General features: G+C 40.7%; 1 protein-coding gene and 1 pseudogene across 2 annotated transcripts in view, besides 1 other annotated feature; one reads left to right on the top strand and one right to left on the bottom strand.

Moving 5' to 3' along the window:
* Nucleotides 2,855–3,419: an enhancer, noted in NCBI's record as "OCT4-NANOG hESC enhancer chrX:67767078-67767642 (GRCh37/hg19 assembly coordinates)". NCBI's record gives its function as "activates a minimal SCP1, AML or CMV promoter by ChIP-STARR-seq in primed H9 embryonic stem cells {active_cell/tissue: H9 hESC(primed)}" and the evidence as "EXISTENCE:reporter gene assay evidence [ECO:0000049][PMID:30033119]".
* On the top strand, nucleotides 11,106–11,212 carry RNU6-245P (RNA, U6 small nuclear 245, pseudogene; annotated as a pseudogene).
* Nucleotides 13,373–26,476, bottom strand: part of YIPF6 (Yip1 domain family member 6) — a 38,232-nt gene continuing 25,128 nt past the window's right edge. For both annotated transcript variants that reach the window (NM_173834.4, NM_001195214.2), the window contains one exon: nucleotides 13,373–18,774. In NM_173834.4, the coding sequence (NP_776195.2) occupies nucleotides 18,656–18,774 (119 nt within the window). In that variant the 3' untranslated portion in view covers nucleotides 13,373–18,655. The remainder of the gene's footprint in view (nucleotides 18,775–26,476) is intronic.

Below are 26,476 nucleotides of genomic sequence, written 5' to 3'. Positions count from 1 at the left end.
AAACATCACTAGCCATTAGTGAAATGTAAATCAAAGTAACTATGAGATGCCACTACACACTTATTAGAATAGCTGAAATTTTAAAATACTGACAATACAGAATGCTGCTGAGGATGCAAAGCAACTAGAATTCTCCCACATTGCTGGTCAGAACATGAAATTATATGGCCATTTTGGAAAACAGCTTGGCAATTTCTTAGAAAGTAAGTTGCACATTTACAACATGACTCAGCAATCCCACTCCTTGGTAATTAGCCTAGGGAAAATATATTCACGCAAGACTCAACAGGAATATTCATAGCAATTCTATTCGTAATAGCACAGAAAAGGAAACAACACAAATGTCCTTTAACTGGTGAGTGGATAAACAAAAATGGTAGATCCATACAATGGGATGGTAATCACCAATAAAAAGGAATGAGCTATACATTCACACAAAAACATGGATGACTCGTTCTTAAAAATTTTTAGAATTGGGATACATGTGCAGGTTTGTTACATAGATATATTGCGTGATGCTGAAGTTTGGGCTTCAACTGGACCCATCAGCCAAAGAGTGAACATAGTACTCAATAGTTATTTTTTCAATGCTTACCCCACTCCCTACCTCTCCTCTCTAATAGTCCCCAGTGTCTTTTGTTGCCATCTTTACATCGATGTGTATGCAATATTTAGTTCCCACTTATAAGTGAAAACATGCCATATTTGTTTTTCTGTTTCTGCATTAATTCACTTAGGACAATGGCCTCTTGCTGCATCCAATAACATGGATGAATCTTAAATACTAAGTGGTAGAAGTCAGTCTCAAAAGGTTACATACTACATAATTCCCTTTCTATAGTATTCTCTAAGAGACAAACCATAGTGGTTCAGAACCAGCAGTTGCCGGTGTTTAGTGGGTAGGGAGAGGATGAGACTATAAATGGATAGCACTACAGAGATTTTTTTTGGTGAATAGAAGTGTTTCGTATCCTGATTAAACAAATTTATTTCTATGTTAAAACCCATAGAACTGTACGTCCTGTCAAAAGTCAATTTTAGGCCTGGCATGGTGGCTCATGCCTGTAATCCCAGTACTCTGGGAGGCCGAAGCAGGCAGATCACTTGAGGACAGGAGTTTGAAACCAGCCTGGCCAACCTGGCGAAACCCTGTCTCTACTAAAAATAAAAAAATAAAAAATAGCCGGGCATGGTGGTGCACACCTGTAATCCCAGCTACTCGGGAGGGTAAGACAGGAAAATCGCTTGAACCTAGGAGGCGAAGGTTGCAATGAGCCAAGATGGCACTCCAGCCTGGGTGGCAGAGTGAGAATCTGTCTCAAAAAAAGAAAAAGTCAATTTAACTGTATGTGAATATGTATGAAAATGAAACTGATAATTCACATAAAGTAAAATATCTGTTCCCATTGTCAAATATACTAGAGAAAATAATACATCCTAAATTTATATAGTACTTTATTACAAAGTGCTTTCACATACATATTTCGCTTAATCCTCACAATGAATTGAGAATTAGGGACATTATTCCCATTTCACATATGGGGAATATGAGACTAAGTGGAATTGACTCTCTTATAATTGTATATGTATATAGTCAATGGTCAAGGCCAGGTGAAACCCAGTCTGTCTGATCCACAATCCAAACCTTTGTCCACTTTTCATGCTGCTTCTTCCAACCCAAAGATCTCTAATCTTCTAGGTCTGTAATGTAGAGAACGGCATTTTACCTCAGTTTCTTTCTCTGTGAAATGGGGATGATATGCCCACTTGACAATGAAATTATGCCTCACATCTCTTCCTTTTGGGACCTGCCCCTCCTCCGCTATGTGATTCCTACCAGTGATCAATCGGTAGGAGTTCATCTCCACTACCACAGAGAGGGGCACTCGACCCAAAACGAGCAATCTGATTACTCCAATTCCCTTGGATATAGTGAGCCAAGCGAGTACACATTTCCCAGGCAGGATTCATCAGAGACCTTTGAAGAGGATTGTTGCTGTGAGAGAGAAGGTCCTGTGCTTCAGTTAGTATAATTTGAGTTCTAAGGACCATGTACATTATGAGTAGCTGGCGGCTATATTTGCAACACCATGAAGAGAGTCTGAGAATGAACCCCTAAAGCTGACAGAGAGAAGACACACAGACACACAAGTCTTTTTTTTTTTTTTTTCAAGACAGGGTCTTGCTCTGTCACCCAAGCTGGAGTGCAGTGGTGCAATCACAGCTCACTGCAGCCTGGACCTCCCATGCTCAAGTGATCCTCCTGCCTCAGCCTCCCAAGTAGCTGTGACTACAGGCATGTACCACCACGCCCAGCTAATTTTTTGACTTTTTGTAGAGATGGGGTTTCACCATGTTGCCTAGGCTGGTCTTGAACACCTGGGCTCCAGTGGTCCTCCTGCCTTGGCCTTCCAAAATACTGGGATTATAGGCATGAACCACTATGCCTGGCCAACACACAAATCTCAATGACATTGTTTGAGCACATGAATCCAGTTGTGCCTGACGCTAACCCAGCCCTTCGGACTTCCTAGTTAAATGAGTACTTTTTTTTTTTCTTAAGCTAGTTGAGCTTCTGTTACATGTAACTAAAGGTTTATAAATATTGTATAAATTAAAGATATTATAAATGTATAATGCTTAGCCCAGTACCTGACACATAGTTGACACTGAATAAATATTAGTTCCATTTAATCCCCAACTACCTTCCCTAAATATACTAAATTAACAAATACAGATCAAACACTATGGATTTTGTTGTTGTTATTTTGCTGTCACCTCATCTGCAGGCCACTTGTTGCTTATTTTTCCAGCATTTCTGCATGGATCCAGATGGAAGCTTCAAAAAAATGGGACATGGCAGAGCAGTGCAGGTCTCCAGATTCTGGTCCTATTAGGGACCTATTTCCTATAAAACATTACTAGCTCTTCACTTCTTAGACAGCTTTAGAATTACCTATTCTCGATATTTCATATAAATGGAATATTACAATATATTATCTTTTGTTTCTGGCTTCTTTCACTACACATAATGTTTTGAGGTTCATCCCCATGGTAGCATGTATCAGTACTCTATTCCTTTTTATGGCTAAGTACCATTCCATTTGCATGTATATAGCACAATTTGTTTATCCATTCATCTGTTGATGAGTTGTTTCCCCCTTTTGAGTAGTGTGAACCAGTACTTTTGAGTAGCTGTGAACATTTGTATATGAGTATTTGTTTGAGTACCTGTTTTCAATACTTTTGGTCATACCTAGGAGTGGAATTGCTGGGTTACATGGTAATTCTATGTTTAAGTTTTTGAGGAACTACCAAACTGTTTTCTAAGGCAGCTGCATTTTTACCCAATTTGACAAATGTTTATTAAGAACAAGCTGGCCGGGTGCAGTGGCTCACACCTGTAATCCCAGCACTTTGGGAGGCTGAGGCAAGAGGATTGCTTGAGCCCAGGAGTTCAAGACCAGCCTGAGCAACATAAGTAAGACTTTGTCTCTACAAAAAAAAATTTTTTTTGTTTGTATCTTTCTTTAATATGCTAGTAGTTGAGTTTTCCATAGAATTAGGACATATATTTAGGTCAGATCTAATTGGGATATTCCTTGGGATATCTTGATTCAGGGTTTTCTTCTTCTTCTTCTTTTTTATTATACTTTAAGTTTTAGGGTACATGTGCACAACTTGCAGGTTTGTTACATATGTATACATGTGCCATGTTGGTGTGCTGCACCCATTAACTCGTCATTTACATTAGGTATATCTCCTAATGCTATCCCTCCCCACTCCCCCCACCCCACAACAGGCCCCGGTGTGTGATGTTCCCCTTCCTGTGTCCATGTGTTCTCATTGTTCAATTCCCACCTATGAGTGAGAACATGTGGTGTTTGGTTTTTTTGTCCTTGCGATAGTTTGCTGAGAATGATGGTTTCCAGCTTAAAAAATAGCCAGGCATAGTGGTGCATGACAGTTGTCCCAACTACTTGGGAAGCTGAGGTGGGAGGATGGCTCCAGCCTGGGAGGTCAAGGCTGAAGTGAGCCAAGATCACGCTGCTATACTCCAGCCTGGGTGACAGAGCAAGACCTTGTCAAAACAAAAAAACAAAGAACAATCTGAATACATAATTGCATTTATTTTTACTTTGAGAGTCTTAATTATATGCTTGTTCATTTATATCTCCATTTACTTAACAGTCATTCATACACAAGCCTATTATTCTTCACTATGTTGCCAGGCCGGCCTTGAACTCCTGGTCTCAAGTGATCCTCCTGCCTCAGCCTCCCAAAGTGCTAGGACTATAGGCATAAGCCACCATACCCAGCCTAAGTTTATAAAATTATAAATATCAAGTATTGGTGAGGATGTAGAGCAATGGATCTCTCAAACACTGCTAGTAGGAGTGTAAATGGGTATAACTACTTGGGAAGACTATTTGGCAAATTTTTACAAAGTTAAATATACACTTACCATGTGACTCAGCAGTTCCCTTCCTAGGTATCTACCCAAGAGAAATGAAAGCACAGCCCACAAAAAGTCTTGAACAAGAATGTTCATAGCTGCATTATTCATAATGGCCAGACAGAGACAGAGCCAGGGACCCCTCTTGTGGGCCTGCTGGGTTTCCCAAGAATGAAAATAAAGTAAAACCTTGTGTTCCTTCAAGTGAAATTCCAGGCACCTGGCTAGCCTTGAAAAATAAATAAGCAACCTGATAAGCAAGAAGGTAATAATAGCCAAGGAAGTTAGAGCCACAAAATATTTGGTTCCCTATAGAAACTAAAGATAACATCTTAACATATGTCCCTGAGTTGTTTTTCAGAAACCTGAACCCCCAACAAATGGAAAATGTTGTCTTTTCTGCTAAGAAAACCTTGACCAATCACAAATCAGAAAATCTTTGGGCTGGGCGCAGTAGCTCCTGCCTGTAATCCCAGCACTTCAGGAGGCTGAGGCCAGGAGTTCGAGACCAACCTGAATGACATGGTGAAACCCCGTCTCTACTAAAAATACAAAAATTAGCTGGGCGTGGTGGCACACACCTGTACTCCCAGCTACTCGGGAGGCTGAGGCAGGAGAATTGCTTGAACCTGGGAAGTGGCGGTTGCAGTGAGCCAAGATCACACCATTGCACTCCAGCCTGGGTGACAGAGCAAGACTCTGTCTCAAAAAAAAAAAAAATGAAGAAGAAAACCTTTGAATCCACCTGTGATCTACGGGCCCCCCACTTTTACATGTGCCACCTTTTTAGGCCAAACCAGTGTATAATCTCCATGTATTGATTTGTGACTTTTCCTGTAACCTCTGCCTCCCCATCTTTAAAAACCCTTACATGCAAGCCACTGGGAGTTTGAGTCTTAAGCATGAGCTGCCCAATTCCCCTTGCTTGGCTCCCTGTAATAAATGCCTCACTTTCTCTTGGTGCAAATCTCAATGTTTGGCTTTGCTGCCCCAGGTGGGCAGATTCATGCTCATTTCTGTAACAACACTGGAAATAATCCGTGTTAGTCTGTGTCTTCTGAAAAGTAGACGTCAAGAGTGGCTTTAATATGCAAGAAATGTATTAAGGAAAATCTTGTGAGAGAAGATGAGTGGGAAGCTAAGGGAGATTGGGAGAGCCATCAGACCATCATGTAGGTCTGATCCCGAGTGAAGAAGAGAGGGAAGAAGAAAAGTTGGATGGAAGCATCTCAGATTGCAGTGCGGTTCTGAAACAAAAGTGCAGCAAGGCTGTTGAAGAATCCTTAAAACCAAAATCACCCATCAGAGTAGCCCCGTTATCCCAGGAATGGGCCTGTCAGTATGCCTATCCAACTTAGTCACTGCAGGGAGCAGCTCATGGGAAGTGTGGGTTTGCTGAGAATGTGGGATGAATTTTAGAACACAGATGAAACATCCATTAACAGATTCATATAACGAGACGCTACTCGGCAATAAAAAAGAATAGACTACTGATACACACAACAAGGATTGGCCGCAAGAACATGCAGAGTGAAATAAATCAGACATAAAAGACCACATGAAATTCTAAAACAGGAAGAACTGATCTAAAGTGACAGAAAGCAGATAACTAAATACCTGAGGCCAGGGATTGGAAGAGATTGATTACAAAGGGACACAAAAGACCTTTTAAAAACAAAAATATTCAATATCATGGATATGGTGGTGAAAATATTCAACATCTTACATGACTGTTAACAGTTATCAAAACTCATTAGCCTGTACATTTAAAAATGAGTACTTACTGTATGTAAATTATCTTTAAATTTATTCACACAATTATAACAGAGTGCTTGCTGTACTCAATATCAAGTCTCCCTTCTTTAATAGCAATACTCCAAGTTTATTTGGGATAGCAATGCATGGAGCTAAAAGAGTACATTTCTCAGCCCCCTTTCCTCCCTCCCCCACAGCTAGACATGTCCATGCGACTAAGCTCCCTAGCAATGACATGTAAGTAGAAGTGCTGTGTTTAACTTCTAAGAAATAGCTTAAGGGGAGCTAACTTGGCCGGAAAAAAACTGCCCTTTTGTCTTCCCCTACTTCTAACTGCTGCCTGGCAGGTAGGTATAATGAATTGGCCTCTCACAGCCATCTTGGACCATCAGAAAGGAAACTAATAATGAAGATGGTGGGACCAGGAATTTGGATCTTCTTAGGTCCCAAATGACCAGAAAACCACCATACCAGCTCTGGACCTCCCACCTTTAGACTATTTTATATGAGAGAGAAATAAGCCTCTATTTTATTTAAGCCACGCTTGTTTTGGATTCTTCTGTTACATGCAGCCTATATTCAGCTGATTCTAATTGAATGCATTCTCTAGAATCAGATTGAGTTCAAGTCCCAGCCCTGCCACTTACTAGCTGTGCGGCCTTGGGTGAGTCATTTCACCTCTGAGTCTCTGCTTCCTTGTTTGTAAAATGGTGCTAATAATATATATCTTGCAGGGCTAATATGAAGGACTCAGTGAAAGCATACACTAAATATCTAGAGCATGGTTTCTCCCTTGTCAGCAGAGAAGCAGGCTTCCCCTTTCCCAGAGAAGAGTGCCAACATACAGAGTGAATGGCTTCATGGCCTACCATCTTCACCTCAACACATTAGATAAAAATGCTCCATCCTTGGGCTCTCACAGCCTTTGGCCATACCTCTTTAAAGTGTTTTCCACATTGTAGTTAAATGTATCTCTTTACCTGTCTATCTTCCCCTGTTCCCCAGAGATCAAACCTCCAATATCCCTTCTACCTAGTTGATATAATTTGGATGTTTGTCCCCTCCAAATCTCATGTTGAAATGTGACCCCGAACTTTGGAGGTGGGGCCTGGTGGGAGGTTTTTGGGTCATGGGGACAGATCCTTATGAATGGCTTGGTGTCTTCCTCTCGATAATGAGTGAGTTCTCGTTCTATTAGTTCACATGAGACCTGGTTGTTAAAAAAAAAAAAAAAAGCCTGGCAACCAGGCACAATAGCCCATGCCTGTAATCCCAACTCTTTGGGAGCTGGAGGCAGGAGGATCACTTATGTCCAGGAGTTCGAGACCAGCCTGGGCAACATAGTGGGACCCCCCCCATCTCTACAGTTTTTTTTTAAATTAGCCATGGTGGCATATGGTGGCATATGCCTGCAGTCCCAGCTACTTGGAGGCTGAGATGGGAGGATTGCTTGAGCCTGGGAAGTTAAGGCTGCTGTGAACCATGATTGCACCACTGCACTTAGCCTGGGTGACACAGCAAGTGAGACTCTGTCTCAAAAAAAAAAAGAAGAAGAAGAAGGCTGGGCATGGTGGCTCATGCCTGTAATCCCAGCACTTTAGGAGGCTGAGGAGAGGGTGAGAGTGGATCACCTGAAGTCAGAAGTTCAAGACCAGCCTGGCCAACATGGTGAAACCTGTCTCTACTAAAAATACAAAAATTAGCCAGGCATGTTGGCGCATGCCTGTAGTCCCAGCTACTGGGAAGGCTGAGGTGGCAGAATCACTTGAACCCAGGAGGTAGAGGTTGCAGTGAGCTGAGATGGTGCCACTGCACTCCAGCCTAGGTGGCAGAATGAGACTCCGTCTCAAAAAAAACAGAAAAAAAAAAGATCCTGGTTCCTCTCTCCTTTTCTTTTGCTCTGTCTCTCACCTTGTGACACACCTTCCTCTATGAGTAAAAGCTTCCTGAGGCCTCACCAGAAGCAGAGCAGATCCTGGTGTCATGCTTGTACAGCCTGCAGAATGGTGAGCTAAATAAACCTCTTTTCTTTATAAATTACCCAGTCTCAGGTATTCCGTCATAGCAAAACAAAACAGAATACTATGCTAGTCTTCTAGAATGACACTTCTGAGTCTAATTAACTGAACAAATACTGTGCCTACTATGTACCAAGTTTTGGGCTAGATTTTGAGGACAAAGAGGTGAATTAGACATGATTCCTGTCCTGTTATATCTCATGATCTAGTATGAGATATGGACAAGTAAACAGGTGAGTATAATTTAACATAGTGTAGTTAAGTACAATAACAGATGTGAACTTAACCACAAGAGAATGCAAGAAAATGTCAACTCCGTGAAAGCGGGGACTCTGTCTTGTTCACTATTAATAGGCACTCAGTAAATATTTGTTAAATAAATGAATGAATGGTATTATGATGGCACAGAAGAGAATAACCTAAGCCAGGTGAAATAGCAGAGGAGGTGAAAAGCGAGGAGGACAATTGGTCTCCTGGATGAGGTGAGGCCCGGAAAATTTTTAATGGAAAAGTGGGGTGTGGAGGGCATTTCAGAGAGACAGCAGGGAGGTGAGAAGTAGCACAGCAAGCACTTGGGAACAAGTAGTTCATTGTTGCAGGAGTACAGAATTCAAGGCTGGGAGAGAGGAAAGCTAGGGCCAAATGACAGAAGGCCTTGCAATCAATGGCATAAGAAGCTTCAGTTTTGTCCCAAAGAAGATGTGAAGGTGAGAGGTGAAGCCAGCTGGACTTCCTGGGTCGACTGGGGACTTGGAGAACTTTTCTGTCTTACAAGAGGTTTGTAAAATGCACCAATCAGTGCTCTGTAAAAACGCACCAATCAGCACTCTGTAGCTAGCTAGAGGTTTGCAAAATGGACCAATCAGCACTCTGTAAAATGGACCAATCAGCAAGACATGGGCGGGTACAAGGGAATAAAAGCTGGCCACCCCAGCCAGCAGTGGCAACCTGCTCAGGTCCCCTTCCATGATGTGGAAGCTTTGTTCTTTTGCTCTTCACAGTAAATCTTGCTGCTGCTCACTGTTTGGGTCCATGCCACCTTTAAGAGCTGTAACACTCAGTGAGAAGGTCCACAGCTTCATTCTTGAAGTCAGCAAGACCACGAACCCACCGGAAGGAACCAACTCCGGACACAAAGGCAGTAGGGCAATTTAAACTGAAGAGAGGGTCAAATATACACTTGAAGTATGTCACTCTGACAACAGTATGAGAAATGGATTTGAGCAGGGCAACATGGAAGCAGATTACCTACGTAGTTGTTTCTATAGGCCAAAAAAGAGATGAGAACCTGAACCAAACCGTGACAGTGGGGATACGGAGTAAGATATGGAGTTGAGAAATGTTTGTTGGGTAAAATTAGCAGGACTGGTGACTGAATGGATATAAGAAAGTGAAGGGGGCATTAAGGGCAATTATCAGATTACTGACTTGGGTAACTAGGTATAGCAGTGGTTCTCCAAAATAAGGAACATAGGAGGAGCAGGGTTTGGGGGACCTGCCCAGTCTAGTTGAGACATGACGAGTTTAAAAAGCAATGAGACATTCAAGTGATGGTCCAGCAATTATTTCTGTATCATTCTAGAAATCACACGTCAGAGTCATAAACTGGAGATTCTGGAGTCATCAGAACTCCTCAAGCTGACTTATTGGCTCATCCATCTGAGGATGGAGCTCACTGCCTTCAGGCACAGCTGGACTCAGGCTCAAACCTCATGAAGCTTCCCTCAGTGCCAGCTTCTCTTCCTGTGATACACTCATTCTCTTCTACTATTGTGATGAAAAAGTTGGCCACTGACCACCCCAGGCTTGCATCTTTACAACTCATAATACAAAAGGAAGACAGTCTGGCTTCTTAGGTCTAGCAGAAAAAAACCTGGAAAGGCCTCTGAATGGCCCATCTTGGCTTAAGTATTCATTACTTAATCACTGTGATCAAGGAAAGGTGGTAACGTGGCTCAGTCTAGGTCAATCTAGTAAGGGAGGAATTCTCCAAAGCAACTAGAAAGAAGATGAAAATGCATGCTGGGGAGAAATAAAAAAAAATAACAGTTTGAATAGTTTGAATGGTAGGTGAAATTATGAGAGTGAATTTTTATATCTAGGGAGAATTTCTAGATTGAAAAGAGCAGAAGGCAGAGAAAACACTCAGTTTCAAGGGGCAGGTGGAAGAAGAGGAGTTCTTTAAGAAGAAATAGACTATTTTGACAATCAAGGGAGTTAGCTGTCATGGAAGACAAGAAAGAAAAATGTTTCCAGGAGGAATAGGAGTTTACAACAGCATCAGTGCAGTAGAGTAAGGTAAGGACTTAGCAATTTTAGTGAGAGTAGTCACTCTCTGAGAATGTTCATGACATGGGCATGAAGCCAGACTGCAGTTGGTTGAGAAGTGAACATGAATGTAGACAAGCTTTTTCGAGAAGTTTGGATGAGAGCAGGTTGGCATCTGGACCATAGCTGGAAGGGAACACATTCCCACTCTTGGTTCTGAAGCTATAGCACCAGCCCCACTACCCTGGATTGTATTTCTGACTCCATCTCAAAAAAAAAAAAAAAATTGTGGATTTGTTTTTTTTTGTTTGTTGTTTGTTTTTTTAACCTGCATGAGGTTGTCACCCTTTTAGCTACTGTACTCTCACATAGTAGAAAAAGCAGTGAACCAGAAATGAAAAAAACTAAGTTTTAGTCTGGTTCCTTTGAACAACATTGGGTAAATGACTTTCCCTCTCTGAGCCTCAGTTTTTCATTGGTAAAATGAGCAAATTGAACCAATTATCGATAACATTCTTTTAATCTCTAATGTTCTGTGCCTGATCTGAATCTACAAATAAGGAACAAATACCAGGAGCCTCCATCTCCTACCTATCAATACTTTTGGAGTGCTTACTTAGGCAGCATATATACTAAAATTGGAACGATAGGGAGAATATTAGCATGGCCCCTGCAGAAGGACGACACACACATTCATCAACACTTCCATGTTTTTACTTAAATAAATAAAACATTTGGCTGTGTGGTGGCTCATGCCTGTAATCCCAGCACTTTGGGAGGCTGAGATGGGTGGATCGCTTGAGCTCAGGAGTCCAAGATTGGCATGGGCAACATGGCGAAACCCCATCTCTACAAAAAATACAAAAATTAATCGGGCATGGTGGTAACAGCAGAGCAGAAAGCACCAAGGCTTTGGAGTTCAGACAGACCTGTATTCACATTCCACCTCAGCCACTTACTGTGGGCAAGGTATTGAATCCAAACTTCTTCCTCTTCTGAAAAAAATGGAGGGAATGATCTCACAGGGTTAGTGTTAGATGAAGATAGCAATGTGAAAATCCATGGTAGGTAAGTGTTAGCTTCATAACTTCCTCCTCATCTTTCTGGCTCCTTTTCATAGGTCTATCATCCAGCACTGTGGTTGTCATCAAGACTGTGCCTGGGACAGTGTTCTCTCAATATTCATCACATCTGTAAGCTCAAATTTACATTTATAGCAATGACTTCTATAATACTACCCTCCAGGCGCCTATTTTCAGTGGTCTGTAGAATATCACCACTGTGACAGCCAAAGTCAGTACCTCCACAACTGTTAGCCCGCCATTCTTCCCGACTTCAGACTTACAGCTTAGAAATATATTCACACTCTTTTCTTCCCTCTACCTTCCTCCCAATCCAATTTCCCACCATGTTCCCATTTATTCCTTTGAGGTCACTTTCATCAAGATATTCCCCTTGAAGTCACCCTATTTCCCACCACAGTAAGACCTAACTTCACAATTCCCTGGTTTTCAATACCTACTCTCAATAATTTGGTCTCATCTTAGCCAACTAATTTCTTCCATTTCCCAATTCAGTTGAATTCACTTCAACTTTTGCATTCTCATTAGAAAATGAAAGATTGGATTAACATGAGGAACAACCAATTGCATTCTTGAGACTGACTTTATAACCCAGGACATACTTCTCTGAGCCTATTTCTTTAGCTATAAGATAATCAGCTTTATCTACTTTGCACAGTGATGTAAAATAAAGGCAGCTAGGAAAATGAAGTGTCACAATGCATTGTGATTACGTACAGAACAAGGTGCCACACTCACATGTGCATGTGAACAGCTGTACAGACAGACCTGCTTTTTGCCTCTTATCTTTGCTCCTAAGTATTCTCTACCATTGGGAATGCCCTTCCTCTTCTCTTGGATGATACACATTCTCTCAATACTTCACAGACTTCTTATTTTTACAGATCACTCTGCTCTTTTATTTGGTACCAAAAATAAAAGCCATGACATTTTTCAACTATTATGTGTGTAGGGCTATGCGGAATTTTGTTTATCCAAGTAGTTTATAAGTCAAGAGCGGGAACAGGTATAGCCCCCAGCAGAAAGCTGAAAACCCAGTTTTTCTCACCAAGCTCCTAAATTGCCTGATTGGCCCAGCTTAGCTTCATTTAAGTGGGTAGGTATGGTTTTAATTTGGCAAAGAACCAATATAGAAAAAAAAAAAAAAGGCCATGCAGTCATAAAACCTGAGTTTGAATTCTGGTTGCACCATTCACTATGTGACTCTGGGCAATTTAACCTGAGTCTCGGATCTCTCAACTTTTTAAAATTTTTATTTATTTATTTATTTTGACACAGGGTCTCAGCCTGCCGCCCAGGCTGGAGTTGCACCATTGTACCTCACAGCATCTTCGAACTCCTGAGCTCAAGCAATCTTCCCGCCCCAGCCTCCCGAGTAGCTGGGACTACAGGCACACAAGACCAAGTCTGGCTTTTTTTTTTTTTTTTAAAGAAAGAGTCTCCCTATGTTGCCCAGGCTGGTCTTGAACTCCTAGGCTCAAGAGATCCTGCCTCCTCGGGCTCCCAAAGCACTGGGATTATAGGTGTGAGCCTCGAAACCCAGCCAGATCCAACTTTAAGGATAATGCCTCTGATCTCAAAAGGCTGCTGTCAATCAGAGATACTGTTTGTAAAGCAACTAATAAAGTGCCTGGCATGGTATACAGCATTTGCTCAATAAATGTGACTTCCCTTTCTTACTTGCTCCCTGCCCAATTTACAAAGCATTCAATATTGTCGGATGACAATATATCTGAAATCAGTATGTAGCAAATCTCTGTGCCTTCAGTACAAGAATAGGCACACACAAATTCTTTTTCCAGTGTTTTTAGTTGCACATTTAATAGTCACAAATCTTTTTACAGATTTTTCACAGATTTATTATTTATAGAAAAAAATCAAGATTAAAATGGAGTATTGAAAAGGACCAAGAAATTACTAGCAGTGATGGCAAAGTACAAAGGCTCTGAAAGAACAGAGTAAACAAGAGCAGCGCAGTGCAGCGTGTGGCCACTTCCCACCAGGCAGAACACTTGACTTCATTAAGGCAAAGCCTTTACTCTGTTACTTTTTCCTCCCACATAGTTTAACCCAAATAGAAAGGCATTCTATTCTCACACTACTGCTCTCTAAGGTCCTAGGAATATAACTGGTACTATAAGCAAACAGATGCATCCCTTGACTATTAATACCTGAATAGACAAGTTAAATTGTGATGCATTAACCATCCCTCTGGGAGAATTAAAAAGAAAGAGGCAGAAATTGTTTGATGCTTAAGACTGAGAAAAAGGGGTATATATGTGTGGTGGTGGTGGAAGCGGGAGAGAAAAGAGGTTCAAGGAGGGATGAGGGCAACAAACCTCTTTCCAATGTCCAACTGTTCTTATGTTCTCAGATGCTGCTGATACAGTGTTCCATTACTCTGAAAACAAATGTTATCTACATCCAGTCAGTTCTAGGGTACAAAGGCTAACAATAGGGAAAATACCTTGGGGGAAGGGTGTATTCATTTCAGGTACATAACACAATAGGGAAAATACCTATATTTGTACCTAGGGTACAAAGGCTAACAATAGGGAAAATACCTTGGGGGAGGGGTGTATTCATTTCAGGTACATAAAAATGGAATTCAAAATTGTGTCCTACTGTGTTCTCATCTAATGTGTTATTACTGTTGTAAATCAAATTACTGTGTGACCGTGGGCAATTTACTTAACCTCTCAGTGCCTCAATTTTCCACATAAAATGAGAATTGTAGCACTGGTATTACAGGAGATGCATGAGAAGCACAGAAGAATAGTGTCTGGCCAAATCAATAGTGACAGAAAGCAGATTAGTGGTTGCCAGAGGCTGGGATGAAGGGGGAATGGAACTGACTGCTGACAGACCTGGGGTTTCTTGGTGAAGTTACAAAATGATCTAAAATTAGATGTTAGTGATAGTTGTGCAATTTTGTGTGTGAATATACTAAAAACCACTGAATTGTACATCTTAAAAGGTGAATTTCAGCCAGGCATGGTGGCTCACGCCTGCAATCCCACTGTTTTGGGAGGCCAAAGCAGGTGGATCGCTTGAGCCCAGGAATTCAAGACCAGCCTAGGCAACATGGCGAAACCCTATCTCTACAAAAACTACAAAAATTAGCCAATTAGGTGTAGTGACGCATGCCTGTAGTCCCAACTACTCGGGACACTGAAGTGGGAGGATTGCTTGAGCCCAGGGAGGTCGAGGCTACAGTGTGCCATGACTGCTCCACTGCACTCCAGCCTGGGTGAGTCCCTGTCTCATAAAAATAAAAAATAAAAAGGTGAAGTTTATGGTAAAGTGTATTTCAATAAAGCTGTTATTTTAAAAATTCTTAAAAAAATAGAATAGTGCCTGGCACACAGTAAGTGCCAAATAAAGGTTAGCTATTATTATTAGTAATATCATTGTCATTATTATTATTTGGCCATTCTGTGGCCTAAGTAAACCCCAAGAAATTCTCTATTTTTAACAAAAGCCTACAGAATCTAGAAAAGTGTTTCTAATTTATATACATGAATTAACATTTATACATTTATTTCCATCCAAATGTCTCAGAAACAGTCTAAGAATCACAATTTCAGTGTTTTGCACTGAGCTAAAACAGCTGCATGCAATGGATGTCTTATCAAATCATGATAAGCTTTAGATAAATTCTAATGACTTGATGTTACCCAAGAACTTGAACTGACAGATTTTCATTTTTGTCTCCAGGAATGAACAGGCAGTCCAAATACTGTTAGTAGTTACATTATATAAAGCACACAATTAAATGTCCAAATACAGGCTTGGTAGCCTTCTAATCACATTTTGGGAGATACTGTTTATAAAAAGACAAATATAGTAAACAGTAAAATGCTTACTAGTCCCATGTCCTGTGACCCCACCTTGCCCAACAACAGGAAAACCCCACCAAAATGAAAATATGAAAATCAACTCATGTAATAAACCTCTTCAGAGGCAAAAGACTTTAGAGGCAAAAGACTTAATGATTAACGGTTGACTTTTAAGACTTTACTGCACATTCAGATATGTTGGAATCAATTGAGTTTTTATACTCTGAACAGCAATTAAATCCAGTCTTTACCCGTCCTATTGCTAAAGAATATGACAAAAGAGTCTTGGTCTCAGAAGTAGGAGCAGCAAGTGATTACTCATGATGGCAATGATGCACCACATTCTGCAGTGATGCTCACATGCCTGAATTTCATCTGAAGCATGAAAGTTCCCAAATCCTGCAACAGGGTTTCCTTTGTTGGAGTCCCCGTCCTTGCCGTCTTCACTTCTATAATCAGCTATGTGCCTTTGCAGCAAATCAGGAAAAGCTGTGTTGAGGGTTACAACTTCCAGACATTTAGGTCTTAACTTCCATCACAGAAAGCAATGCACTTTTTTGAATATATTAAGAAAATATTTATTCATCCCTTCAAGCCACTCACTTTCAGAAAGACAATTGAACATCCATTTTATCAACCTTCATTTAACCCTTTTCCTGTTTAGAAAAAAAAAAATTGCCAGCGCTAATTTACATAAACATTCTCTTTGAGGCTTAAGCAAATCTAACTGATTTTCAATGTGAAAAAAGATAAAAACTGAGTTATTTCTAAAGAGAACATCAGAATTGTCTATTTCAAAAAAATTGGATTCATCAAATGAATCTTCGGCCAACAACTGTTCGAGAATGATGTTAACATCATGTATAGGCATGCTACGTTTTCTAGGATTTGACATTTTCAGTAATCAAGAGTTACTATATTTTGTAAATGGAAATACCGCTACTAAAAAAAAAAAAGAATGCTATAAATAGAACAATGTCTTTTGTTTCCAAAGTCCATATACTAGAATGATGTGAAAATAATAAAAGCGAAATATTTCGTAGGCAAAGTTATCTTGGGGTAAATGCTACAACTGCAAGCGCCACTGGCGAGTATTCTCGGGGCAAACAGAAAGAAGGTTAAATCAAATAAAATCATTCCCTAAGTCACCCAAGAGCAAAGATAAATACATAGAACAAGCTGCCTTAAGTCCCAATATTTATAACCCACCCACCATGTACATCTACACGAACCCCCCAAAGCTGTGGCCTTAGGAATTTCTGACCAAACAATTAGCCTGAGTAAAATTCAATAAACACTTTTAATTCCCCCTTGAGAAGCATGGTTACTTCTTTAATTTTACATTATAGTCATTGAGACAGATTACGAAACAACTTTGGCAGAAAGAGAGTTTTAGCAGGAAGTAAGAGAATTTCAGACATTGGAAATGGATAATAATTTAGAACCAATTTCAAAATGAGGATCAGTTCCAAAGTATTTTCTTTACTCATTCAAGATTGAAACATTGGCTCTGTCCACACAAAGGTTTATTTTACAATTTAAAAGGTAAATTGTAATAAATAGAAATATATAACCAAAAACTCTGGACAAGGCTGGAACCAAGGGGACCCACTTTGTAATGCTTTGTTATTATCATTCCAAGAACCCATTTGGCCCTGTATTCACTTGGCTAATGTGGGGATGGAGAAAGTATGACTTTGGAATCATATATCTATGTGTAGGTAGTCTTTAAATACAAAATGAATAAATATTTAAATTATATGATAAAGAAAAACTGGGGAATAAGAAAGTCCTATGTTTATCAACTAATAGTATATTTACAATGAGTGTTTTCTGCCTGACACCTAATCTTTGTCTATTAGAGTTCCTCAATGTGCAATTTATAGAAGGCAACAGTTCATATTGCCTTAAAGGAGCCCTGTTTAGCTCAGAATCAGCCTGTCCCAGATGCTCTGCTCCCTGAAAAACCTTCACACTTGTGTGCATAAATATCTGAGATTACAAGTAGGTGCACATGTGCAACATGTACTTATCTAAAGGGGAGCTAATTAGCTTGATAAAGTCTAAAATCAATAAAATAAATTGCTATTCCCCAACCCAAAAAAACACATCTAATGAGAAAACTGCTAAGCTCACCATGAAAAGGCAGCAGCTGTAAACTCATCCCATCCCACGTCATGCTCTAAGTATCTAGCTGTTCTATTAATCAGCCATCAGAACACTAAATCCCTCCCTGTTCACATGGTTAAATACAGGCTTCTGATTTAGCTTTACTTTCTAGTTAAGAGGCCAGACTACAGAGAATATTAAACAGCTCCTTTTAACTATGCTGCATCCAGACTGCCTCATTCCACCCTAAGAGAAGGTGCCCACATGATAATATGCACTAGAGATCTACCAATCTAAGTTTCTGAGGTCTTCTTTTTGGATAAGTTCCAGCACTGGAATATTCAGAATTTCAAAGGAAAATTACATGTTGACTACTGACATTTTAGACTGCATATTCAAAGTTAAGGAGCAAGATTAAGACTAGAGTGCCAACCAAGATGCTGTTAAACATGGCAAAAAGGTGACAGCACAAAGGGACCAAAGAGGCTGATTCTTTAGAGGCCCTTTGCTTTTTTTTTTTTTTTTTTTGCAACAAGTGTAGAATTTCCCCTGATCAAAATCTGAATATTGGTTAATGCATGTTTTCTCATTCTCCGTGTATGAACCCACTCCTAACCTCTCTCATTGCCTTTTTAAGCTTAAGAGAGAGAAATAAAAGAAAATGGATATAGACCATGTATTTTTATTTATGAAAAGAGAGGCATATTCTAATAGTCATAAGGCAATGTGTTTAAGAGCTGCACCTGAACTGGTATTCTCAAAACTGAAAATAGTTATCAACTCTATTCAACTTGTAAGATGTATCTATGTGCTTCCCAAGTCACTGGTTGTCACCCAAATGGACCACGGTGACTCCATCATGCCTTAAGGAGGCATTATATACTGTGTGTAGTATGCACATGTATTTTTAAAGAAATGACATTAAGAGAGAAAAGAACAGCCTTTCAAACATCAGTTCCTCAAATAAGGGGTGACAGTGCTATATGGCTCCCTTTTAATCTCCTCACCTACTCAGTTATCAAATACCTCCAAAATTAGACAAATAAGGGCCAGAGACAAAGCTCCATGGTGAATTGCATCTTTCAGATGTGCTTTCAATTCACTGGTTTTTAATTTCCCATTCCTGATTTACTGAGGAGTAAAGGTGAGAATCATCCAACTGATGACAAAGTAAAACAGGAAAACAGGATAAACAGCTAGGGCTCTGCGGTTTGGAGGCTGGCTATCAGCAAGGAAAGCTGTGGAGGCTAAACAAAACAAGACAAAACAAAAAGGAATGTTTAATACAGTAATATTGTCACAACTATTAACATTTACTAAACATTCATGAGCTTGGCATCATCTAGAACACAGAATTACACTAAAAGTTTAGTTATACTGGTGATCCTCAGAGATAAAGGCATTCTGCAACATAGTTTTTCAGAGAGCCGAGGCCGAGGACTTATTTCAAGTACTAAACCATTTTGGATGGAAATCTTTCTAAAAGGAGTTTTTTACCCTTTTCTGGAAAAGTTATTGAACTGTACTGAAAAGGCTTACAAAGATGTGTAAGGTTATTTGTTCCTATGGTAAACGGCCTCGTGCTGCTCTGCTTTTTGAGCTAACTGTGCTTCTGAAATTGTCAGCTCTTTTAAACGCCATCCCTCCCTTGTCCATCTAAGAAAAACCTAATCATCGTTTTACTCATCAAGAATCACCCTTCTGACCAGGCACAGTGGCTCATGCCTGTAATTCCAGCACTTTGGGAGGCAAAGGCAGGCGGATCACCAGAGGTCAGGAGTTCGAGACCAGCTTGGCCAACATGGTGAAACCCCATCTCTAATAAAAATACAAAAATTAGCCAGGTGTGGTGGCGGGCACCTGTAATCCCAGCTACTCGGGTGGCTGAGGCAGGATAATTGTTTGAACTCAAGAGGCAGAGGTTGCAGTGAGCCAAGATGGCGCCACTGCACTCCAGCCTGGGTGACAGAGAAAGACCCAGTCTCAAAAAACAAACAAACAAACAAACAAACAAAAAAGAATCATTCCTCTCGCTGGGTGCTACAGCTTATGCCTGTAATCTCGGCTACTCGGGAGGCTGAGGTGGGAGAACTGCTTGAAGCCAAGAGTTCAAGGCTGCAATATGTTACGGTTGCACCATTCCACTCCAGACTGAATGACAGAGTGAAACCCCATCTCTTTAAAGAAAAATAACAGGAGGTGGCTGGCAAGATGGCCGAATAGGAACAGCTCCGGTCTGCAGCTCCCAGCAAGATCAATACAGAAGGCAGGTGATTTGTGCATTTCCAACTGAGGTACCCAGTTCATCTCATTGGGACTGGTTAGACAGTGGGTGCAGCCCACGGGGGGTGAGCTGAAGCAGGGTGGGGAATCGCCTCACCTAGGAAGCACAAGGGGTCGGGGAACTCCCTACCCTAGCCAAGGGAAGCCATGAGGGACTGTGCCATGAGGAACGGTGCATTCCAGCCCAGATACTACACTTTCCCCATGGTCTTCACAACCCGCACACCAGGACACTCCCTCGGATGCCTATGCCACCAGGGCCCTGGATTTCAAGCACAAAACTGGGCGGCCATTTGGGCAGACACCAAGCTAGCTGCAGGAGTTTTTTTTTATACCCTAGTGGTGTCTGGAACACCAGCGAGACAGAAGTGTTCACTCCCCTGGAAAGGGAGCTGAAGCCAGGGAGCCAAGTGGTCTAGCTCAACGGATCCCACCCCCATGGAGCCCAGCAAGCTAAGATCCACTGGCTTGAAATTCTCACTGCCAGCACAGCAGTCTGAAGTGGACCTAGGATGCTTGAGCTTGGTGGAGGGAAGGGCAACCACCATTATTGAGGCTTGAGTAGGCAGTTTTCCCCTCACAGTGTAAAGAAAGCCACAGGGAAGTTGAAACTGGCCAGAGCCCACCACAGCTCAGCAAAGCTGCTGTAGCCAGACTACCTCTCTAGATTTCTCCTCTCTGGGCAGGGCATCACTGAAAGAAAGTCAGCAGCCCCAGTCAGGGGCTTATAGATAAAACTCCCATCTTCATGGGACAGAGCACCTGGGGGATGGAGCAGCTGTAAGCACAGCTTCAGCAACTTAAACATTCCTGCCTGCCAGCTCTGAAGAGAGCAGCGCACAGTGCTTCAACTCTGCTAAGGGACAGACTGCTTCCTCAAGTGGATCCCTGACCCCCATGCCTCCTGACTGGGAGACACCTCCCAGCAGGGGTTGACGGACACCTCATACAGGAGAGCTCTGGCTGGCATCTGGCAGGTGCCCCTCTGGGATGAAGATTCCAGAGGAAGGAGCAGGCAGCAATCTTGGCTGTTCTGCAGCCTCTGCTGGTGATACCCAGGCAAACAGGGTCTGGAGTGGACCTCCAGCAAACTTAAGCAGACCTGCAGCAGAGGGGCCTGACTGTTAGAAGGAAAACTAACAAACAGAAAGGAATAGCATCAACATCAAAAAAAGGACATCCACACAGAAACCCCATCTGAAGGTCACCAACATCAAAGACCAAAGGTAGATAAATCCATGAAGATGAGGAAAAACCAGCACAAAAAGGCCGAAAATTCCAAAAACCAGAATGTCTCTTCTCCTCCAAAGGATCACAACTCCTTGCCAGCAAGGGAACAAAACTGGATGAAGAATGAGTTTGACGAACTGACAGTAGACTTCAGAAGGTGGGTAATAACAAACTCCTCTGAGCTAAAGGAGCATGTTCTAATGCAATGCAAGGAAGCTAACCACCTTGAAGAAAGGTTAGAGAAATTGCTAACTAGAATAACCAGTTTAGAGAACATAAATGACCTGACGGAGCTCAAAAACACAGCATGAGAACTTCATGAAGCATACACAAGTGTCAATAGCTGAATCGATCAAGCAGAAGAAAAGATATCAGAGATTGAAGATCAACTTAATGAAATAAAGTAGGAAGACAAGATTAGAGAAAAAAGAATGAAGAGGAATGAACAAAGCCTCCAAGAAATATGGGACTATGTGAAAAGACCAAACCTACCTTTGATTGGTGTACCAGAAAGTGACAGGGAGAATGGAACCAAGTTGGAAAACACTCTTCAGGATATTATCCAAGAGAACTTCCCCAACCTAGGAAGGCAGGCCAATACTCAAATTCAGGAAATACAGAGAACACCACAAAGATATTCCTTGAGAAGAACAACCCCAAGACACATAATTGTCAGATTCACCAATCTGAAATGAAGGAAAAAATGTTAAAGGCAGCCAGAGAGAAAGGTCGGGTTACCCACAAAGGGAAGCCCATCAGACTAACAGCTGATCTCTCGGCAGAAACCCTACAAGAAGAGAGTGGGGGCCAATATTCAACATTCTTAAAGAAAAGAATTCTCAACCCAGAATTTCATATCCAGACAAACTAATCTTCATAAGTGAAGGAGAAATAAAATCCTTTATAGACAAGCAAATTCTGAGAGATTTTGTCACCACCAGGACTGCCTTACAATAGCTCCTGAAGGAAGCACTAAACATGGAAAGGAAAAACCAGTACCAGCCACTGCAAAAACGTAACTAATTGTAAAGACTATCGACACTATGAAGAAATGGCATCAACTAATGGGCAAAATAACGAGCTAGCATCATAATGACAGTATCAAATTTACACATAACAATATTAACCTAAAATACAAATGGGCTAAATGCCCCAATTAAAAGACACAGACTGGCAAATTGGATAAAGAGTCAAGACCCATCAGTGTGCTGTATTCAGGAGACCCATATCACGTGCAAAGACACATATAAGCTCAAAATAAAGGGATGGAAGAATATTTACCAAGCAAATGGAAAGCAAAAAAAGTAGGGGTTGCAATCCTAGTCTCTGATAAAACAGACTTTAAACCAACAAAGATCAAAAAAGACAAAGAAGGGCATTACATAATGGTAAAGGGATCAATGCAACAAGAAGAGCTAACTATCCTAAATATATATGCACCCAATACAGGAGCACCCAGGTTCATAAAACAAATTCTTAAAGACCTACAAAGAGACTTATACTCCCACACAATAATAGTGGGAGACTTTAACACCCCACTGTCAATATTAGACAGATAGACGAGACAGAAAATTAACAAGGATATTCAGGACTTGAACTCAGCTCTGGACCAAATGGACCTAAAAGATATCTACCCCAAATCAACTGAATATACATTTTTCTCAGCACCACATCACACTTATTCTAAAATTGACCACATAATTGGAAGTAAAATACTCCTCAACAAAGGCAAAAGAATGGAAATCATAACAACAGAATGCAAAAGAATGGAAATCATAGTCTCTCAGATCACAGTGCAATCAAATTAGAACTCAGGATTAAGAAACTCACTCAAAACCGCACAGCTACACAGAAACTGAACGACCTGCTCTTGAATGACTACTAGGTAAACAACGAAATTAAGGCAGAAATAAACAAGTTTTTTGAAACCAATAAGAACAAAGACGGAACATACCAGAATCTCTGCAACAGAGCTAAAGCAGTGTTTAGAGGGAAATTTATAGCACTAAATGCCCACAGGACAAAGCGGGAAAGATCTAAAACTGACACCCTAACATCACAATTAAAAGAACTAGAGAAGCAAGAGCAAACAAATTCAAAAACTGGCAGAAGATAAGAAATAACTAAGATCAGAGCAGAACTGAAGGAGATAGAGACAAGAAAAACCCTTCAAAAAATCAATGAATACAGGAACTGTTTTTTTTGGAAAGATTAACAAAATAGACCGCTAGCCAGACTAATAAAGAAGAAAAGAGAGAAGAATCAGATAGACACAATAAAAACTGATAAATTGAAGATCAACACTGATCCCACAGAAATACAAACTACCATCAGAGAATACTATAAATACCTCTATGCAAATAAACCAGAACATCTAGAAGAAATTGATAAATTCCTGGACACATAATCCCTCCCAAGACTAAACCAGGAAGACGTCGAATCCCTGAATAGACCAATAATAAGTTCTGAAATTGAAGCAGTAATTAATAGCCTACCAATCAAAAAAAGCCCATGACCAGCCAGATTCACAGCTAAATTCTACCAGAGGTACAAGAGGAGCTGGTACCATTCCGTCTGAAACTATTCCAAACAATAGAAGAAGAGGGATTCCTCCCTAACTCATTTCGTGAGGCCAGCATCATCCTGAAACCAAAACCTGGCAAAGACACAACAAAAAAAGAAAATTTCAGGCCAATATCCTTGATGAACATCACTGTGAAAATCCTCAATAAAATACTTGCAAACTGAATCCAGCAGCATATCAAAAAGCTTACCCACCATGATCAAGTCAGCTTCATCCCTGGGATGCAAGGTTGGTTCAACATATGCAAATCAATAAACGTAATTCATCACATAAACAGAACCAATGACAAAAACCACATGATTATCTCAACAGATGCAGAAAAGGCCTTTGATAAAATTCAACACCGCTTCATGCTAAAAACTCTCAATAAACTAGGTATTGATGGAACGTATCTCAAAATAATAAGAGCTATTTATGACAAACCCATAGCCAATATCATACTTAATGGGCAAAAGCTGGAAGCATTCCCCTTGAAAACCAGCACAAGACAAGGATACCCTCTCTTACCACTCCTATTCAACATAAAGTCTGGCCAGGGAAATCAGGCAAGAGAAAGAAATAAAGGGTATTCAAATAGAAAGACAGGAAGTCAAATTGTCTCTGTTTGCAGATGACATGATTGTATATTTAGAAAACCCCATCGTCTCAGCCCATAATCTCCTTAAGCTGATAAGCAACTTCAGCAAAGTCTCAGGATACAAAATCAATGTGCAAAAATCACAAGCCTTCCTATATACCAATAACAGACAGAGAGCCAAATCATGAGTGAACTCCCATTCACAATTGCTACAAAGAGAATAAAATACCTAGGAATCCAACTTACAAGGGATATGAAGGACCTCTTCAAGGAGAACTACAAACCACTGCTCAAGGACATAAGAGAGAACACAAACAAATGGAAAAACATTCCATGCTGATGGATAGGAAGAATCAATATCATGAAAATGGCCATACTGCCCAAAGTAATTTACAGATTCAATGCTATCCCCGTCAAGCTACCATTGACTTTCTTCACAGAAGTAGAAAAAACTACTTTAAATTTCATATGGAACCAAAAAAGAGCCCATATAGCCAAGACAATCCTAAACAAAAAGAACAAAGCTGGAGTTATCACTCTATCTGACCTCCAACTATACTACAAGGCTATGGTAACCAAAACAGCACAGTACTGGTACCAAAACAGATATATAGACCGATGGAACAGAACAGAGGCCTCAGAAATAATGCCTCCCATCCAAAATCATCTGATCTTTGACAAGCCTGATAAAAACCAGCAATGGGGAAAGGATTCCCTAGTTAATAAATGGTGTTGGGAAAACTGGCTAGCCATATGCAGAAAACTGAAACTGGACCCTTTCCTTATACCTTATACAAAAATTAACTCAAGATGGATTAAAGACTTAAATGTAACACCTAAAACCATAAAAACCCTACAAGAAAACCTAGATAGTACCATTTAGGACATAGGCATAGGCAAAGACTTCATGACTAAAACACCAAAAGCAATAGCAACAAAAGCCAAAACTGACAAATGGGATCTAATTAAACTAAAGAGCTTCTGCACAGCAAAAGAAACTATCATCAGAGTGAATAGGCAACCTACAGAATGGGAAAAAATTTTTGCAATCTATCCATCTGACAAAGGGCTAATATCCAGAATCTACAAAGAACCTAAACAAATTTACAAGAAAAAGACAACCCCATCAAAAAGTGGGCGAAGGATATGAACAGACACTTCTCAAGAGAAGACATTTATGCGGCCAACAAACATATGAATAAAAGCTCATCATCACTGCTCATGAGAGAAATGCAAATCAAAACCACAATGAGATACCATCTCACGCCAGTTAGAATGGCTATCATTAAAAAGTCAGGAAACAACAGATGCTGGAGAGGATGTGAAGAAATAGAAATATTTTTACACTGTTGGTGGGAGTGTAAATTAGTTCAAGCATTGTGGAAGACAGTGTGGCGATTCTTCAAGGATCTAGAACCAGAAATACCATTTGACCCATCAATCCCATTACTGGGTAATACTATAAAGACACATGCACACCTATGTTTACTGCTGCACTGTTCACAATAGCAAAGACTTGGAACCAACCCAAATGCCCATCAATGATAGACTGGATAAAGAAAATGTGGCACATATACACCATGGAATACTATGCAGCCACGTAAAAGGTTGAGTTCATATCCTTTGTATGAAGCTGAAAACCATCATTCTCAGCAAACTACCACAGGAACAGAAAACCAAACACCACATGTTCTCACTCATAAGTGGGGGTTGAACAATGAGAACACATGGACACAGGGAGGGGTACATCACACACTGGGGCCTGTCAGAGGCTGGGGGGGCTAGGGGAGGAATAGCATTAGGAGAAATACCTAATGTAGATGATGGGTTGATGGGTGCAGCAAACCACCATGGCATGTGTATACCTATGTAACAAACCTGCATGTTCTGCACATGTATCCCAGAACTTAAAGTATAATAATAATATAAAAACATATATATATATATATATTTTTAGCCAAATAAATAAATAAATGAAAATAATCAGCCAGGTGCGGTGGCTCATGTCTGTAATCCCAGCACTTTGAGAGGCCAAGGCGGGTGGATCACCTGAGGTCAGGAGTTCGAGACCAGCCTGGCCAACATGGTGAAACCCCATCTCTACTAAAAACACAAACATTAATCGGATGTGGTGGCACATAGCTGTAATCCCAGCTACTCGGGAGGCTGAGGCAGGAGAACTGCTTGAATCCAGGAGGTGGAGGTTACAGTGAGCCGAGATAGTGCCACTGCACTCCAGCCTGGGTGACAGAGTGAGACTCTGTCTCAAATACTA

Source organism: Homo sapiens, chromosome X, assembly GCF_000001405.40.
Source record: "Homo sapiens chromosome X, GRCh38.p14 Primary Assembly".
NCBI classification, from domain to species: Eukaryota; Metazoa; Chordata; class Mammalia; order Primates; family Hominidae; genus Homo; species Homo sapiens.
This window is presented reverse-complemented; position numbering and strand designations above follow the sequence as displayed.